The sequence below is a fragment of the Homo sapiens genome, chromosome 19 (genome assembly GCF_000001405.40).
Source record: "Homo sapiens chromosome 19, GRCh38.p14 Primary Assembly".
In the NCBI taxonomy this organism is placed as follows: domain Eukaryota; kingdom Metazoa; phylum Chordata; class Mammalia; order Primates; family Hominidae; genus Homo; species Homo sapiens.
This window is the reverse complement of record NC_000019.10, coordinates 44,920,543-44,938,400: the sequence shown is the minus strand read 5'-3', so window position 1 is coordinate 44,938,400 and position 17,858 is coordinate 44,920,543. Positions and strand designations below refer to the sequence as shown.

The 17,858-nt window shown below is 51.3% G+C and overlaps 1 pseudogene across 3 annotated transcripts, besides 1 other annotated feature; it reads right to left on the bottom strand.

Moving 5' to 3' along the window:
* Positions 1 to 7,014: 7,014 nt before the first annotated feature.
* On the bottom strand, positions 7,015 to 11,598 carry APOC1P1 (apolipoprotein C1 pseudogene 1; annotated as a pseudogene). 3 transcript variants are annotated; one of them, NR_028414.1, is made up of 4 exons: positions 11,569 to 11,598; positions 11,368 to 11,445; positions 10,471 to 10,606; positions 7,015 to 7,401 (listed from the first exon to the last, which is right to left on the bottom strand). The product of NR_028414.1 is annotated as an apolipoprotein C1 pseudogene 1, transcript variant 3 (transcript). The 3 variants fall into 3 exon arrangements; NR_028412.1 differs by having other exon boundaries at positions 10,471 to 10,791; positions 11,368 to 11,598; NR_028413.1 differs by having other exon boundaries at positions 11,368 to 11,598.
* Positions 10,167 to 11,059: an enhancer, noted in NCBI's record as "H3K27ac-H3K4me1 hESC enhancer chr19:45430599-45431491 (GRCh37/hg19 assembly coordinates)". NCBI's record gives its function as "activates a minimal SCP1, AML or CMV promoter by ChIP-STARR-seq in naive H9 embryonic stem cells {active_cell/tissue: H9 hESC(naive)}" and the evidence as "EXISTENCE:reporter gene assay evidence [ECO:0000049][PMID:30033119]".

Here is a 17,858-nt window from a genome sequence, read left to right as displayed (position 1 = left end):
AAACGGTGAAACCCCGTCTCTACTAAAAATACAAAAAAATTAGCCGGTCATAGTGGCGGGCGCCTGTAGTCCCAGCTACTTGGGAGGCTGAGGCAGGAGAATGGCGTGAACCCGGGAGGCGGAGCTTGCAGTGAGCCGAGATCCCGCCACTGCACTCCAGCCTGGGCGACAAAGCGAGACTCCGTCTCAAAAAAAAAAAAAAAAAACAACAAAAAACAAGGGCCAGCATGGTGGCTCGTGCCTGTAATCCCTGGTGGCAGGATCACCTGAGCCCAGGAGTTAAGACACTAATCTGGGCAACATAGGGAGACCTCATCTCTACTAAAAATAAAAAAAAAAAATTTAGCTAGGCGTGGTGGCATGCCCCTGTAGTCCCAGCTACTCAGGAGGCCGAGGTGGGAGGATTGTTTGAGTCTAGGAGTTCAGGGCTACAGTGAGCTATGATTGTACCATTGCATTACAGCCTGGGTGACGCTGTCTCCACAACAAACAAAAGCCCAAAATAAAAAACAAAAACAAACCTACTGTGTGTTGTGTTATGATTGGTGTGGGGTTCAGAGCCTGACTCTACCTGTTGCTTCTTTTCCTTTCTTTCCTTCCCTCCCTCCCTTCTTTGTTTTTTGAGATGGAGTCTTGCTCTATTGCCCATGTTGGAGTGCAGTGGCGCGATCTCGGCTCACTGCAACCTCCATCTCCTGGGTTCAAGCAATTCTCCTACCTGAGCCTCCCGAGTAGCTGGGACTACAGGCGCCTGCCACCACACCCAGCTAATTTTTGCATTTTTAGTATAGACAGGGTTTCACCACGTTGGCCAGGCTGGTCTTGAACTCCTGACCTCAGGCAATCCACACGCCTTGGCCTCCCAAAGTGCTGGGATTACAGGTGTAAGCCACTGCTCCTGGCCTGTTTTTTTTTCTTTTTGAGATGGAGTCTTGCTCAGTCACCCAGGCTGGAGTGCAGTGACGTGATCTCAGCTCACTGCAACCTCTGTCTCCCGGGTTCAAGCAATTCTTCTGCCTCAGCCTCCTGAGTAGCTGGGATTACAGGCGTCCGCCACCACGCCCAGCTAATTTTTGTATTTTTAGTAGAGACGGGGTTTCACCATGTTGGCCAGGCTGGTTACGAACCCCTGACCTCAAGTGATCATCCCGCCTCAGCCTCCGAAAGTGCTGGGATTATAGGCATGAGCCACCGCGCGTGGCTGACTCTACATCTTTCTAGCGGTATGACCTGGTACAAGTTGCTTTACCTGTGTGGGCCTGTTTCTTCATCCATGAATGGGAGTCATGGACTATCTACCTCATAGGGTTGCCAGGGAGAGTAAAGATCGTGCACAGAAAATGCCGCATAGGTGCCCCGTCAACGCCAGCTACTGTTTAATTCGTGCGCGCTTCCCCAGCACACACTGTGTGGCAGGAACCATGGCAGGGCTTTTAGATGATTACTTTACTTAATTGCGGTGGGGCATGGTGGCTCATGCCTGTAATCACAGCACTTTGGGAGGCTGACACAGGCAGATCACTTGAGGTCAGGAGTTCGAGATCAGCCTGGCCAATATAGTGAAACTCTGTCTCCACTAAAAATACAAAAATTAGCCAGGCATGGTTGTGGGCGCCTGTAATCCCAGCTACTTGGGAGCCTGAGGCAGGAGAATTGCTTGAACCCGGGAGGCAGAAGTTGCAGAGAGCCAAGATGGCTCAATGCACTCTAGCCTGGGTGACAGAGCTTTCCATCTCAAAAAAAAAAAAAGGTGGGGGAGCTGGGCGTGGTGGCTCATGCCTGTAATCCCAGCACTTTGGGAGGCCGAGGCAGGTGGATCACAAGGTCAAGAGATTGAGACCATCCTGGCCAACATGGTGAAACCCCATCTCTACTAAAAATGCAAAAATTAGCTGGGTGTGGTGGCGGGCGCCTGTAGTCCTAGCTACTCAGAGGCTGAGGCAGGAGAATCGCTTGAACCCGGGAGGTGGAGTTGGCAGTGAGCCGAGATCACGCCACTGCGCTCCAGCCTGGTGACAGAGTGAGACTCCATCTCAAAAAAAAAAAAAAAAAAAGAAAAAGAAAAACAAAAAAACTACTTACTTATTTGCCACAAAAACCCTATCAGGTGGGCATCTTCATCATTTCCATTGTACAGATGGAGAAACAAGCCTCAGGGTGGGGGCGCAGCCACTTACTGACGACTCCTCAACCAGCAAGTGGTGGTTTTGAACCGGGACCCTCTCACACTACCTAACCAGGCCAGGACAACCTCTGCCCCTCTCCACCAAAATCCAAGAGATCAAGGGGATGTTGGAAGTGGTATGGGCCCTGAGAGGTCTCTGACCTCTGCCGCAGCTCCAAGGTCAGCACGCAGGGAGGGCTATGTGTTTGCTGTTTGCTGCTTGCAATGTTTGCCCATATCAGGGACGGGAACAGGCTGAAGGTCATTCAGGGTGGACTTCAGAGGCAGCACACAAACAGCTGCTGGAGGATAGGAACTAAGAGGTCGGAAGGGGGCAGGGCGGGCCCAAAAACAGAGCCTGCAACTCTGTTCTCTAAGTCACCAAGCCCCAAAACCACTCTCAAATCTTTCTCTCTACCCCTGGATCCTTACCCTGGTCTGAATCCCATCCCCTCATCCCCCGAAACCCTGCACCCTCCTCCCTGCTAATCTTCTGGTGTCTCTAGCCACTCCCCTCCTGGCTGGATACTCTGGGTGATTGCAGGGAAGGCTGGGGTAAAAAAGGGTTTGAAATGTCCCTCCTAATGCATGTTGAAAAATTGAGTTATAATTCACATTCCATAAAATTTACCCTTTTTTCTTTTTCTTTTTTTTTTTTTTTTTTTTTGAGATGGAGTCTCACTCTGTTGCCCAGGCTGGAGTGCAGTGGGGCAATCTCAGCTCACTGTAGCCTCTGCCCCGCAGGTTCAAGAAATTCTCCCGCCTCAGCGTCCCAAGTAGCTGAGACTACAGGCACTTGCCACCACGCCTGGCTAATTTTTTAATTTTTCGTAAAGATGGAGTTTCACCATGTTGGTCAGGTTGGTTTCGAACTCTTGAGCTCAAGTGATCTGCCCGCCTCGGACTCCCAAAGTGCTGGGATTACAGGCGTGAGCCACCGCGTCCTGCTAAATTTACCCTTTTAAAGTGTACAGTTCAATGGTTTTTCCTATATTGGCAAGGTTGCACAATCACCACTATCTAATTTGGAACATGGCTCACTGCAGCCTCAACCTCCCTGATTCAAAGCCATCCTCCTACCTCAGCCTCCCAAGTGGCTGGAACCACAAGTGTGCACCACCATGCCCAGCTAATTTTTTTTAGGAGGGATGGGGTCTTGCTATGTTGCCCAGGCTGGTCTTGAACCTCTGAGCTGAAGCAATCCTCCCATCTTGGCCTCTCAAAGGTTAGGATTACAGGAGTGTGCCACTATGTCTGGCAGGGGATGATTTTGGAAGAGAACTGGAGGAAGTGAGGAGGGAGCCAGGCAGATATCTGGACCCCTGGGGAAGAACATTCCAGGCAAGAGGAACAGTAACTGCAAGGGCCCTGAGGTGGGAACCTGCCCAGTACATTGGAGGAATAGCAAGGAGTTGCTTGTGAGTGATGGAGAGAGAGGGATGAGGCGATCGTGAACCGGGTAGTGTCCTGTTTGTAGGCCTTTGGTAAGTTCTTCTGGGTTTGCTCTGAGAGAATCAGGAGAGTTCTGAGCAGAGGAAGAGCATAATCTGACTTGAGGCTGGGCACGGTGGCTCATGCCTGTAACCCCAGCACTTTGGGAGGCCGAGGAGGGTAGATCGCTAGAGCTGGGCAGTTTGAGACCAGCCTGGGCAACATGGTGAAACCCCGTCTCTACTACAAATACAAAAATTAGCTGGGTGTGGTGACACACACACACCTGTAGTCCCAGCTAATTGGGAGGCTGAGCAGGAGAATCGCTTGAACCTGGGAGGCAGAGGTTGCAGTGGACTGAGATGGTGCCACTGTACTCCAGCCTGGGCAACAGAGTGAGACTCCGCCTCAAAAAACAAAAAAACAAAAAATCTGACTTGAGTTCTAACAGGCTGCTGAGTGAGAAGAAAGGAGAGTATAGGAGTTTGGAGGGTTGATTTTGGGGGAGAAGGGAATGCATTAACCCCAGAGAGTAATATTTATAATTTATTTATTCTCTTTCTTTCTTCTTTTTTTGGTAGAGACGGTGTCTCACCATGTTACCCAGGCTGGTCTTGAACTCCTGACCTCAACTGATCCTCCCATCTCAGCCTTCCAAAGTGCTGGGATTACAGGCATAAGACACTATGCCCAGGTTCAGGATTTCCTTTTTTTTTTTTTTTTTTCTCCTGAGACACAGTCTCACTCTGTCATCCAGGCTGGAATGCATGGCGCAATATTGGCTCACTGCAAGCTCTGCCTCCCGGGTTCACGCCATTCTCCTGCCTCAGCCTCCCGAATAGCTGGGACTATAGGCGCCCGCCACCATGCCCAGCTAATTTTTTGTATTTTTAGTAGAGACAGTGTTTCACCATGTTAGCCAGGATGGTCTCGATCTCCTGACCTTGTGATCCACCTGCCTCGGCCTCCCAAAGTGCTGGGATTACAGGCGTGAGTCACTGCGCTCGGCCCAGGATTTCCTTTTATGTTTTGAGATGGAGTCTTGCTCTGACGCCCAGGCTGGAGTGCAGTGGCATGATCTCAGCTCACTGCAGTCTCTACCTCCTGGTTCAAGCTATTCTCACGCCTCAGCCTCCCAAGTAGCTGGGATTACAGGCACACGCCACCATGCCTGGCTAATGTTTGCATTTTTAGTAGAGATAGGGTTTCACCATGTTGGACAGGATAGTCTCCAACTCCTGGCCTCGAGTGATCCTCCTGCCTTGGCATCCCAAAGTGCTGGGATTACAGGTGGGAGCCACCGAGCCTGGCTTCAGGAGTTCCTTTTTTTATTTTTTGAGATGGAGTTTTGTTCTTGTCGCCCAGGCTGGAGTGCAACGGCACGATCTCTGCTCAGTGCAGCCTCCGCCTCCTGGGTTCCAGTGATTCTCCTGCCTCAGCCTCTTGAGTAGCTGGGTTTACAGGCACCCGCCACCATGCCTGGCTGATTTTTTTTGTATTTTTAGTAGATACGGGGTTTCACCATGTTGGCCAGGATGGTCTCCAACTCCTGGCCTCAAGTGATCCTCCTGCCTCGACCTCCGAAAGTGCTGGGATAACATGTGTGAGCCACAGAGCCCGGCCTCAGGGTTTCCTTTTTAAGGATGCTTTACATTCCATTGCACGTATAGACCACATTTCCTTGACCCATTCATCTGTTGATAAACATTTAGGTTGTTTCCATATCTTGGGTATTAAGCAGACCTGCAGTGAACATGGGAGGGCAGGTATCTCTTCAAGGTCCTGATTTCAATTCTTTTGAATAAATACCCAGAAATGAGATTGCAGGATCATTTGGTAGTTCTATTTTTAATGTTTTGAGGAAACCCCATACTGTTTTCCACAGTGGCTGCAGTGTTTGGTGTTCCCACTCGCATTGTAGGAGTCCCTTATATATTTTGAATATTAACCCCTTATTAGATATATGGCTTTCAAATATTGTTCTTATGCAATCTTAAGCTGGGCGCAGTGGCTCACACCTGTAGTCCCAACACTTTGGGATGCCAAGGCGGGCGGATCACTTGATGTCAGGAGTTCGAGACTAGCCTGGCCAACATGGTGAAACTCTGTCTCTACTAAAAATACAACAAAAGTAGCCAGGTGTGGTGGCACATGCCTGTAATCCCAGCTACTTAGGAGGCTAAGGCAAAAAAATCACTTGAATTTGGGAGGCAGAGGTTGCAGTGAGTGGAGATCGCATCATTGCACTTCAGCCTGGGTGACAGAGCCAGACTCCATCTCAAAAAAAATTTTTTTTTTACATAGGGTTGTTTTGCATGTGCATGTGGTTTAATTTTACGTAAGAGCTGGGCACAGTGGCTCACGCCTGTAATCCCACCACTTTGGGAGGCCAAGGCAGGAGGACTGCTTGAATCCAGGAGTTGGAGACCAGACTGGCCAGCACGATAAAATGCTGTCTCTACTAAAAATACAAAAATTAGCTGGGTGTGGTGGCACACACCTGTAATCCCAGATACTAGGGAGGCTAAGGCAGGAGAATCTGTTGAACCCAGGAGGCGGAGGTTGCAGTGAGCCGAGATCATGCCCCTGCACTCCAGCCTGGGGTACAGAGTGAGACTCTGTCTCAAGAAAAAAAAAAAAAGGCCAGGCGAGGTGGCTCATGCCTGTAATCCCTGCACTTTGGGAGGCCATGGCAGGCAGATCATGTGAAGTCAGGAGTTCAAGACCAGCCTGATCAACATGGAGAAACCTCGTCTCTACTAAAAATACAAAAATTAACCAGGCATGGTGGCACGCACCTGCAATCCCAGCTACTTGGGAGGCTGAGGCAGGAGACTCCCTTGAACCTGGGAGGCGGAGGTTGCAGTGAACTGAGATGGTGCCATTGTACTCCAGCCTGGGCAAGAGGAGCGAAACTCTGTTTCAAAACAAAACAAAACAAAACAAAAAACCTCAGCCCCTCATCTCGGGTAGACCACACTAGGAAAAGTGTAGCATAGTGACATTGCCTGGCTGAGGGTTCAATCTAGTTCCAGTTCTCCACTTCCTGGCTGTGTGACCTTATACAAGTAGCCTCACCTCTCTGGGCCTCAATGCCCTTATGGGATTATTAAGTCCCAGTTTGCAAGGTTCTTAGGAAGATTCTTTTGAGACCATAGAGTTAAAACATCCTTAGCACAGGGCAAGTAGATGGGGCATTGGAGGGCTTGTGAGGAGTCCGTAAGGTTCAGCCCCTGCCCTCTCCCACAGCCCCTACCCTCTCCGGCACCCCTGCCCCACAGTGAAGAAGCAGTCAGACAGAATTTTCTTTTCTTTTTTTTTTTTGACGCGGAGTCTGGCTCTTGTCACCCAGGCTGCAGTGCAGTGGCACGATCTCAGCTCACTGCAAGCTCCACCTCCCGGTTTCAAGCGATTCTCCTGCCTCAGCCTCCCGAATAGCTGGGACTACAGGCGCCTGCCACCACGCTTGGCTATTTTTTTTGTATTTTTAGTAGAGACGGGGTTTCACCGTGTTAGCCAGGATGGGCTCAATCTCCTGACCTTGTGATCCGCCCGCCTCAGCCTCCCAAAGTGCTGGGATTACAGGCGTCAGCCACCATGCCTGGCCAGAGAGAATTTTCCATAGGATTTTTATTGGTCACACCTGGGCGTGTGACCACATTGGACACACATGGAGGGCGTCCTCAGTACAGGCGCTGGGGTGTTGGAAATTTCAGAGGCCCCTCCTGGGATGTCACCCTTCAGGTCCTCATGAGTCAGTCTTGAGTTTCTCCTTCACTTTCCGAAATGTCTCTGAAAACCAATCCCTGTGGGGAGGAATAAGGAAGGGGGTCACTGTGTGCAGCTACCTCCCAGGCTGTTCAAATTCTACCTGCTACCTGACTCCCACCTCTTCCCCTTGCTGAATCTCCATCCCCACTGTCTGTGGGATTAGGAGGACCGCTGGGCTGGGTGGGCCAACTTCTGTGCCTCAGTTTCCCAGGTGGACCAAAGCACGTTGAAGTCTAAACACTTTACCCTTGGCTGGGCATTTGGCTCACGCCTGTAATCCCAACACTTTGGGAAGCCGAGGCAGGCAGATCACTGGAGGTCAGGAGTTCGAGACCAGCCTGGCCAACATGGCAAAACCCCGTCTTTACTAAATTACAAAAATTAGCCACCCGTGGTGGTGCACGCCTGTAATCCCAGCTACTCAGGAGGCTGAGGCAGGAGAATTGCTTGAACCTGGGAGGTGGAGAGTGCAATGAGCTGAGATCACACCACCGTGTTCCAGCCTAGGCAACAGAGCGTGACTCCGTCTCAAAAGAAAAGAAAAGAAAAGAAAACTTCACTCTGGCCTGGCTTTCAAGGCCTGCCATCTCTTGCTACCCACTCTTTCTTCCAGCCTGCCCTTGCCCTATCTGTTCCCCTACTCATTCAAAGGTACTTTCCAGCCTCCCTGCGTATGCCCAGGCTGTTCCCCTGCCTGGGATGCCACCCGCTCTTGCTTATTGATCGACCTTCTTGACTTTGGACCTTTGCCTCTCCCTCCAAACAATCAATCTTTCTTTCTTTCTTTCTTTTTTTGAGACGGAGTTATGCCCTTGTTGCCCAGGCTGGAGTGCAATGGCGCGATCTCAGCTCACCGCAACCTCCAGCTCCCAGGTTCAAGCAATTCTCCTGCCTCATCATCCTGAGTAGCTGGGATTACAGGCATGCACCACCATGCCTGGCTAATTTTTTGTATTTTTTTTTTAGAAGAGACAGGGTTTCTCCTTGTTGGTCAGGCTGGTCTCAAACTCCTGACCTCAGGTGATCTGCCCGCCTCAGCCTGCCAAAGTGCTGGGATTACAGGCATGAGCCACTGCACCTGGCCTCCAAACAATCTTTCTAAGTTTAGGCCTGACTAGATTTTCCCTCCCTCCCTCCCTCCCTTCCTTCTTTCTTTCTTTCTTTCTTTCTTTTTTTTTTGGATGAGACAGGGTCTCATTCTGTTACCCAGGCTGGAATGCAGTGGCACAAACATAGCTCACTGCAGCCTCAACCTCCTGGGCTCAAGTGATCCTCTTGCCTCCGTCTCCGAAGTAGCTGGGACTACAGGTGTGTGCCATCACGCCTGGGTAATTTTTTGTATTTCTAGTAGAGATGGGGTTCTCAAACTCCTGACCTCAAGTGATCCACTCACCTCAGCCTTCCAAAGTGCTGGGATTACAGGTGTGAGCCACCGCGCTCGGCATATTCTTCACTGTTTTATTCCCCACATTGAAACAGTTTCTAGCACTTAGCAGATGCTCAATAAATATGTGTTGAGGAACGAATGACTCTCTAACTTGCCAAAGGGAGCAAGTGTGGATTTGAAGATGTACTGAGCATTTACAATGTGCCAGACACCCTATAGGCCTTCTGCTTTACTTCCCCACAGAACCACCATTTCACAGGAAAGGAAACTGAGGCTCACAGTAATGCCTCTCTCTTAAGATCACACAGGGAGTAAGGGGCTCTATGCCAGCCTGGGGACTCAGGTCCCACCAAGCTTGTGTCCTTCATTACCCCACAAGACCATCTTTTTTTTTTTCAATTTTTTTTTTTTTTTTTGAGACGTGGATTCGCTCTTATTGCCCAGGCTGGAGTGCAATGGCATTATCTCAGCTCACTGCAACCTCCGCCTCCCAGGTTCAAGTGATTCTCCTGCCTCAGCCTCCCAAGTAGCTGGGAATAGAGGCATGCACCACCATGCCTGACTAATTTTGTATTTTTAATAGAGACGGAGTTTCTCCATGTTGGTCAGGCTGGTCTCAAACTCCCAACCTCAGGTGATCTGCCCAACTTGGCCTCGAACCCCCGATCTCAGGTAATCTGCCCGACTCAGCCTCCCAAAGTGCTGGGATTACAGGCATGAGCTATCGCACCGGGGCTGGCTTGTATGCTTTTTGTTTTGTTTTGTTTTGTTTTGTTTTTTAAATAGAGACAGGATCACCGGGCATGGTGGCTCACACCTGTAATCCCAGCACTTTGGGAGGCTGAGGCGGGTGGATCACAAGGTCAGGAGTTCAAGACCAGCTTGGCCAAGATGGTGAAACCCCATCTCTACTAAAAATACAAAAAAATTAGCCGGGCGTGGTGGTGGGCGCCTGTAATCCTAGCTACTCAGGAGACTGAGGCAGAGAATTGCTTGAACTGGGGAGGCAGAGGTTGCAGTGAGCCGAGATGGCGCCACTGCACTCCAGCCTGGGCAACAGAGCGAGACTCTGTCTCAAAAAAAAAAAAAAAAAAATAGAGACAGGATCTCGCCATGTTAGCCAGGCTGGTCTCAAACTCCTAGGCTCCAGCAATCCTCCCACAGTGCTGGGATTACAGGTGTGAGCCACCGTACCTAAGCAAAACCATCTTTTTTTTTTTTCTTTTGTGACGGAATGTTGCTTTGTTGCCCAGGCTGGAGTGCAGTGGTGCAATCTTGGCTCACTGTAACCCCCACCTTACTGGTGCAAGCAATTCCCCTGCCTCAGCCTCCCGAGTAGCTGGGATTACAGGTGCACACCCCCATGTCAGGCTAATTTTTTGTACTTTTAGTAGAGACAGGGTTTCACCATGTTGGCCAGGCTGGTCTTGAACTCCTGATCTCAGGCAATCCGCCCGCCTAGGCCTCCCAAAGTGTTAGGATTATAGGTGTGAGCCACGGCGCCCAGCCCAAGACCATCTTTTAAAATGTGGCCTGGATGGGAGTCCGGGAAACTGTCCCTGACGTCTGAGATCCTTGAGATCTAGCTGTGTGACCAGAAGGATGCTGTCAGCCTCTCTGGGACTTGTTTTTTTTTTCAATCTGTTCATCTTGGACATCCTCCAGGGCTCCACACAAACACACCCCAGCCCTCCCGTGCCCTGGGAAGGGTTCTAACCACATCTTGGCAGGAAGTTCACTCTGTGTGATGCGGTTGATGAATTCCCGAGTGTAGTCCTCCAGGGTCTTTCCTAACTCCTCCAGGCCATCAAAGGGGTTGGAGACTTCTGGAGCCCCCTAGGCTGGGGCTGGGCCTGCCAGGAAGATGAGGCAGGGGTGCAAAATTTGGTTGTTGTTGTTGTTGTTGTTGTAGTTTTGAGACGGAGACTTGCTGTGTCAAATGGTGCGATCTCGGCTTACTGCAACCTCCGCCTCCTAGGTTCAAGCAGTTCTCCTGTCTCAGCCTCCCAAGTAGCCAAGCGCGCACCACAACGCCTGGCTGTTTTGTATTTTTAGTAGAGATGGGGTTTCACCATGTAGGCCAGGCTGGTTTCGAACTCCTGACCTCAAGTGATCTGCCCGCCTCGGCCTCCCAAAGTGCTGGGATTACAGGCATTAGCCGCCACGCCCCACCAAAAATTTGTTATTGGAACCCCCTTGGGGTGGGATCCCGGGGATAGATAAGGAGATCCTTGGGGATCATGTGGTTAGAATGGGGAGGATACTGAAGTGACCGCGTGGGGCTCAAGCCGCTGGGAATTGCCTTACTCAGCACTGACCTCCTCCCACAGCCCATCGCCCCATCACCCACTTTCAAGGCTATAAAAGGAGGACAGCCAATCCCAGAGGTGTGGAGATCCATACGTCATCGGTTACTAGGGCTCTCCTGGGCAGATTTGGCGCCTGCCGGACTGAGCCTGGGCGAACCTGGAGACCCACTCGACCACAATGGGGCAACCACGACCAAGAAGGGGCCCCAGAGCTCTCAGAGGTCCTCTAAGCCGGGACCCCAGGCCTGTAGCCACCTTCACTCTTCCAAATCTCCAACTCCGCAATTCTCCCATCCCACTTTTACCTTCCAAGACGATCGACAGAACCACCACCAGGACCGGGAGCGACAGGAAGAGCCTCATGGCGAGGCCGGAGGGGCACCCTGGAGGCGGAGGCAGGGGTTCAGGGGATCAGTGGCACCCTCCTCCCTCCCTCCCACGATCCCCTCATCTCCCTTTATGAGTTCTTGCAGAGTGGAGGCGGGTGTCCCTCCCAAGCACTCAACAACCTGAATCCTTGCTGGAGGGCTTGGTTGGGAGGTCCTGTCCTGCCCGCAGGACCTTTATCAGGCTGGGGAGGGGGCGGGGCAGGTTGATGTTGATCTCCCTCCTCCTGAGCCTTCCCCTGGAAGATTGCCTCCTTCTGCCCACCCAGGTTTTTCTCCTCTGCCCCTGGCCCGTGGGCGTTGGGGTCAGGTGGGGTCCTGACCATTTCCCTTAGCTCCGAAGCCCTTTACCATTCAGCACCCTCACCTCCCAATCTCCCTGACTCTGGGGGGTCCTCAGACTACCATAGCTCCTTTCCCCACTCAGAGGACAGCCTCGTCCTGTCCCTGTGGCCATCTTCCCTCAGGGGTCTCCCAGTAATAACCCTGTGATCTCATCCCCCCCTCATTCACACCGTGTCCCTAGATCACCTCTTTCCCTCACTTCCCCTCTCTCAGCAAGCCTCCTCAGCCCCAACAACTTTTCCTTTATGTTGCTGGGGCCTCCCAGTTGGCCCCGCAACCCTGCCCTGCGTGCCACCTCCAATTTCTTTCAGACCAGCCCTTGAAACATCCCAGACCACCCTGATATTCTCTGGGCTCTTAACTTGATGATTTTCAGTCTCCCTTTTTTGCAAAGGGAAGGGGTCGCCTTAGCTGGACACTAAAAACCTCACCTGCATTGGCCAGGCATGGTGGCTCATGCCTGTAATCCCAGCGCTTTGGGAAGCTGAGGAAGGAGGATCACTTGAGCCCAGGAGTTAAGAGACCAGCCTGGGCAATATAGGGAGACCTCATCTCTACAAAAAAGTTCAAAAATTAGCTGAGCGTGGTGGCGCACACCTGTAGTCCCAGCTATTCAAGAGGCTGAGGTAGGAAGATTGCTTGAGCCCAGGAGTTCGAGGCTGCAGTGAGCTGTGATTGCGCCACTGCACTCCAGCCTGGTGAGACAGAGTGAGACCCCATCTCAAAAAATTAAAACCTTCAGCTGCAAAGCTCTGAGTGTATGCCCCTTCTTCCCTTCCACCGGGCCTCACCCCCTTTGGCTGGCTACCTCCCCCAAACACTCTATCTGCTCTTATTCACCCTCTGATGCCCCTCCTGGCACCAAGCCTGCTTCCCACCATCACCACATCCGTCCCCCAGGGCTGGAGTCCAATTCCTTCCCCACCAGCTGCCTTTGACCGCCAGTGACCCTGGCAGCTGATGGGGAGGGTGTCCTCAGCCCAGCCTCAGACTCTAGTTCGGCTGGCCTTGTGCCCCCACAACCACGTGTCAGCCTGGCGGTAGGGGGATGGTTGTGAAAGGGACAGCATAGACAAGACCCTGGCAGGATTGCAACATCCCTCTGGCCAGCTCAGAGCTTCCAGTCCCTGTAAGCCCCAGGGGCCCCCCTACTTCCTCAACTGAGCCCAGCATTCCCCAAACATCCACCCAGATGTCTGCTTCCCCGATCCCACAAGAATAGAATAACAATGCTCCTGATTTTCCAACCTCATCCTCCCCTCTGCTATAGGGGTTTCTGTTTAATAGATGGGGAAACTGTCACACAACCAAGAACATCCAGTAGGGCTCAGTGAGGGGCAAAGAGGGGGCTACTGACTGGGCGCAGTGGCTCACACCTATAATCCCACCACTTTGGGAAGCTGAGGCAGGAGGATCTGCTTGAGCCCAGGAGTTTGACACCAGCCTGGGCAACACAGTAAGACCCTATCTCTAGAAAAAAATTAAAAATTTGGCCAGGTGCGGTGGCCCACGCCTGTAATCTGTGCACTTTGGGAGGCCTAGGTGGGTGGATCATTTGAGGTCAGGAGTTCTAGACCAGCCTGACCAACATGGTGAAACCCCGTCCCTGTCAAAAATAGAAAAAATTAGCCGGGTGTGGTGGCACAGGCCTGTAATCCCAGTTACTTGGGAGGCTGAGGCTGACCAACATGGAGAAACCCGTCTCTACTAAAAATAGAAAATTAGCCAGGTGTGGTGGCACATGCTTGTAATCCCAGCTACTTGGGAGGCTGAGGCAGGGGAAGGTTGTGGTGAGATGAGATTGTGTCACTGCACTCCAGCCTGGGCGACAGAGCAAACCTCCATCTCAAAAAACAAAACAAAACAAAACAAAAAAACCAAATGTTTATTTGCCACAAAAACCCTATCAGATGGGCGTCTTTATCATTTCCATTGTACAGATGGGGAAACAGGCTTCGGGGTCGGGGCATAGCCACTTACTGACGACTCCCCACCCAGCAAGTGGTTTTGAACCCGGACCCTCTCACACTACCTAAACCACGCCAGGACAACCTCTGCTCCTCTCCACCGAAATTCCAAGGGGTCGAGTGGATGTTGGAGGTGGCATGGGCCCAGAGAGGTCTCTGACCTCTGCCCCAGCTCCAAGGTCAGCAGGCAGGGAGGGCTGTGTGTTTGCTGTTTGCTGCTTGCAATGTTTGCCCATTTTAGGGACATGAGTAGGCTGAAGTTTGTTCAGTGTGGACTTCAGAGGCAGCACACAAACAGCTGCTGGAGGATGGGAACTGAGGGGTTGGAAGGGGGCAGGGTGAGCCCAGAAACTCCTGTGTGCCTCTGAGCCTGCAGCTCTGTTCTCTAAGTCACCAAGCCCCCAAACCACTCTCATCTCTTTCTCTCCATCCCTGGGTCCTGGCCCTAGTCTGAATCCCATCCCTTCATTCCCCGAATCCCTACGCCCTCCTCCCTGCTAAACTTCTGGTGTCTCTAGCCCCTCCCCTCCTGGCTGGATACTCTGGGTGATGGTAGGAAAGTCTAGGGTAAAAAAGAGTTTGAAATGTCCCTCCTAACGCATGTTGAAAAATTGAATTATGATTCACATTCCATAAAATTTACCCTTTTATTTATTTTTTTGAGGTGGAGTCTCACTCAGTTGCCCAGGCTGGAGTGCGGTGGTGGAATCTAGGCTCACTGTAGCCTCCACCCGCCGGGTTTAAGCGATTCTCATGCCTCAGCCTCCCAAGTAGCTGAGACTACAGGCACCCACCACCACGCCTGGCTAATTTCTTAATTATTTTTTTTTTTTTTGAGACGGAGTTTCGCTCTTGTTGCCCAGGCTGGAGTACGATGGTGTGATGTCGGCTCACCACAACCTCTGCCTCCCGGGTTCAAGCAATTCTCCTGCCTCAACCTCTGGAGTAGCTGGGATTACAGGCATGCGCCACCATACCTGGCTAATTTTTTGTATTTTTAGTAGAGACGGGGTTTCTCCATGTTGGTCAGGCTGGTCTTGAACTCCCAGCCTCAGGTGATCTGCCCGCCTCGGACTCCAAAAGTGCTGGGATTACAGACATGAGCCACCGTGTCCGGCTAAATTTACCCTTTGAAAATGTACTGTTCAGTGGTTTTTCCTATATTGGGAAGGTTGCACGATCATCACCAGTATCTAATTCAGAACATGGCTCACTGCAGCCTCAACCTCCCTGATTCAAAGCCATCCTCCTACCTCAGCCTGCCACGTGGCTGGAACCCCAAGGTGTCCACTACCATGCTCAGCTAATTTTTATTTTTTATTTTTTATTTATTTTTATTTTTAGAACGGATGGGGTCTTGCTATTGCCCAGGCTGATCTTGAACTCCTGAGCTGAAGCAATCCTCCCACCTTGGCATCTCAAAGAGTTAGGATTACAGGCGTGTGCCACCACGTCTGGCAGGGGATGATTTTGGAAGAGAACTGGAGGAAGTGAGGAGGGAGCCAGGCAGATATCTGGACCCCTGGGGAAGAACATTCCAGGCAAGAGGAACAGTAACTGCAAGGGCCCTGAGATGGGAACCTGCCCAGTACATTGGAGGAATAGCAAAGAGTTGCTTGTGAGTGATGGAGAGAGAGACAGGGAGGAGGCGATCGTGGACGGCATAGTGTCCCGTTTGTAGGCCTTGGTAAGTGCTTCTGGGTTTACTCTGAGAGAATCAGGAGAGTTCTGAGCAGAGGAAGAGCATAATCTGACTTGAGGCCGGCCATGGTGGCTCATGCCTGTAACCCCAGCACTTTGGGAGGCCAAGGAGGGCTAATTGCTAGAGCTCAGGAGTTCGAGACCAACCTGGGCAACATGGTGAAACCCCGTCTCTACTACAAATACAAAAATTAGCTGGGTGTGGTGGCACACACACGCCTGTAGTCCCAGCTACTTGGGAGACTGAGCAGGAAAATCGGTTCAACCTGGGAGGCAGAGGTTGCAGTGAGCTGAGATGGTGCCACTGCACAGGCTGGGCAATAGAGTGAGACTCCGTCTCAAAAAACAAAAAACAAAAAATCTGACTTGAGTTCTAACAGGCTGCTGAGTGAGAAGACAGGAGAGTATAGGAGTTTGGAGGGTTGATTTGGGGGAGAAGGGGATGCATTAACCCCAGGGAGTAATATTTATACATTTATTTATTCTCTTTCTTCTTTTTTTGGTAGAGATGGTGTCTCACCATGTTACCCAGGCTGGTCTCGAACTCCTGACCTCAAGTGATCCTCCCACCTCAGCCTTCCAAAGTGCTGGGATTACACGCATAAGCCACTGTGCCCAGTTTCAGGATTTCCTTTTATGTTTTGAGATTGAGTCTTGCTCTGATGCCCCGGCTGGAGTGCAGTGGCATGATCTCGGCTCACTGCAGCCTCCACCTCCTGGGTTCAAGCGATTCTCATGCCTCAGCCTACTGAGTAGCTGGGATTACAGGCGCACGCCTGGCTAATTTTTTGTATTTTTAGTAGAGACGGGGTTTCACCATGTTGGCCAAGATGGTCTCCAACTCCTGGCCTCAAGTGATCCTCCTGCCTTGACCTCCGAAAGTGCTGGGATAACATGCGTGAGCCACATCGTCTGGGATGTGAGGAGCCCCTCTGCCTGGCTGCCCAGTCTGGGAAGTGAGGAGCGTCTCCGTCCGGCCGCCATCCCATCTAGGAAGTGAGGAGCGCCTCTTCCCGGCCGCACATCGTCTGAGATGTGGGGAGCGCCTCTGCCCCGCCGCCCCGTCTGGGATGTGAGGAGCGCCTCTGCCCGGCCGCGACCCCGTCTGGGAGGTGAGGAGCGTCTCTGCCCGGCCACCCCGTCTGAGAAGTGAGGAGACCCTCTGCCTGGCAACCGCCCTGTCTGAGAAGTGAGGAGCCTCTCCGCCCGGCAGCCACCCCGTCCGGGAGGTGAGGGGCGCCTCTGCCCGGCCGCCCCTACTGGGAAGTGAGGAGCCCCTCTGCCCGGCCACCACCCTGTCTGGGAGGTGTGCCCAACAGCTCATTGAGAACCGGCCAGGATGACAATCGCGGCTTTGTGGAATAGAAAGGGGGGAAAAGTTGGGGAAAAGATTGAGAAATCGGATGGTTGCCGTGTCTGTGTAGAAAGAAGTAGACATGGGAGACTTTTCATTTTGTTCTATACTAAGAAAAATTCTTCTGCCTTGGGATCCTGTTGATCTGTGATCTTACCCCCAACCCTGTGCTCTCTGAAACATGTGCTGTGTCCACTCAGGGTTAAATGGATTAAGGGTGGTGCAAGATGTGCTTTGTTAAACAGATGCTTGAAGGCAGCATGCTCGTTAAGAGTCGTCACCACTCCCTAATCTCAAGTACCCAGGGACACAAACACTGCGGAAGGCCTCAGGGTCCTCTGCCTAGGAAAACCAGAGACCTTTGTTCACTTGTTTATCTGCTGACCTTCCCTCCACTATTGTCCTATGACCCTGCCAAATCCCCCTCTGTGAGAAACACCCAAGAATGATCAATAAAAAATAAATAAATAAATAAATAAATAAATAAAATTTAAAAAAAAAAACATGTGTGAGCCACAGAGCCCGGCCTTAGGGTTTCCTTTTTAAGGATGCGTTACATTCCATTACATGTAGAGACCACATTTCCTTGACCCATTCATCTGTTGATAAACATTTAGGTTGTTTCCATATCTTGGGTATTGAGCAGACCTGCAGTGAACATGGGAGGGCAGGTATCTCTTCAAGGTCCTGATTTCAATTCTTTTGAATAAATACCCAGAAGTGGGATTGAAGGATCATTTGAGAGTTCTATCTTTAATGTTTTGAGGAAACCCCATACTGTTTTCCACAGTGGCTGCAGTGTTTGATGTCCCAACTAGGATTGTATATTATACATTTTGAATTTTTTTTTTTTTTGAGATGGAGTCCCACTCTGTCTCCCAGGCTGGAGGGCAGTGGCGCCATCTTGGCTCACTGCAACCTTCGACTCCTGGGTTCAAGGGATTCTCTTGCCTCAGCCTCCCAAGCAGCTGGGATTACAGGCATGTGCCACCCCACCCGGCTAATTTTTTTGTATTTTTAGTAGAGACAGGGTTTCACCATGT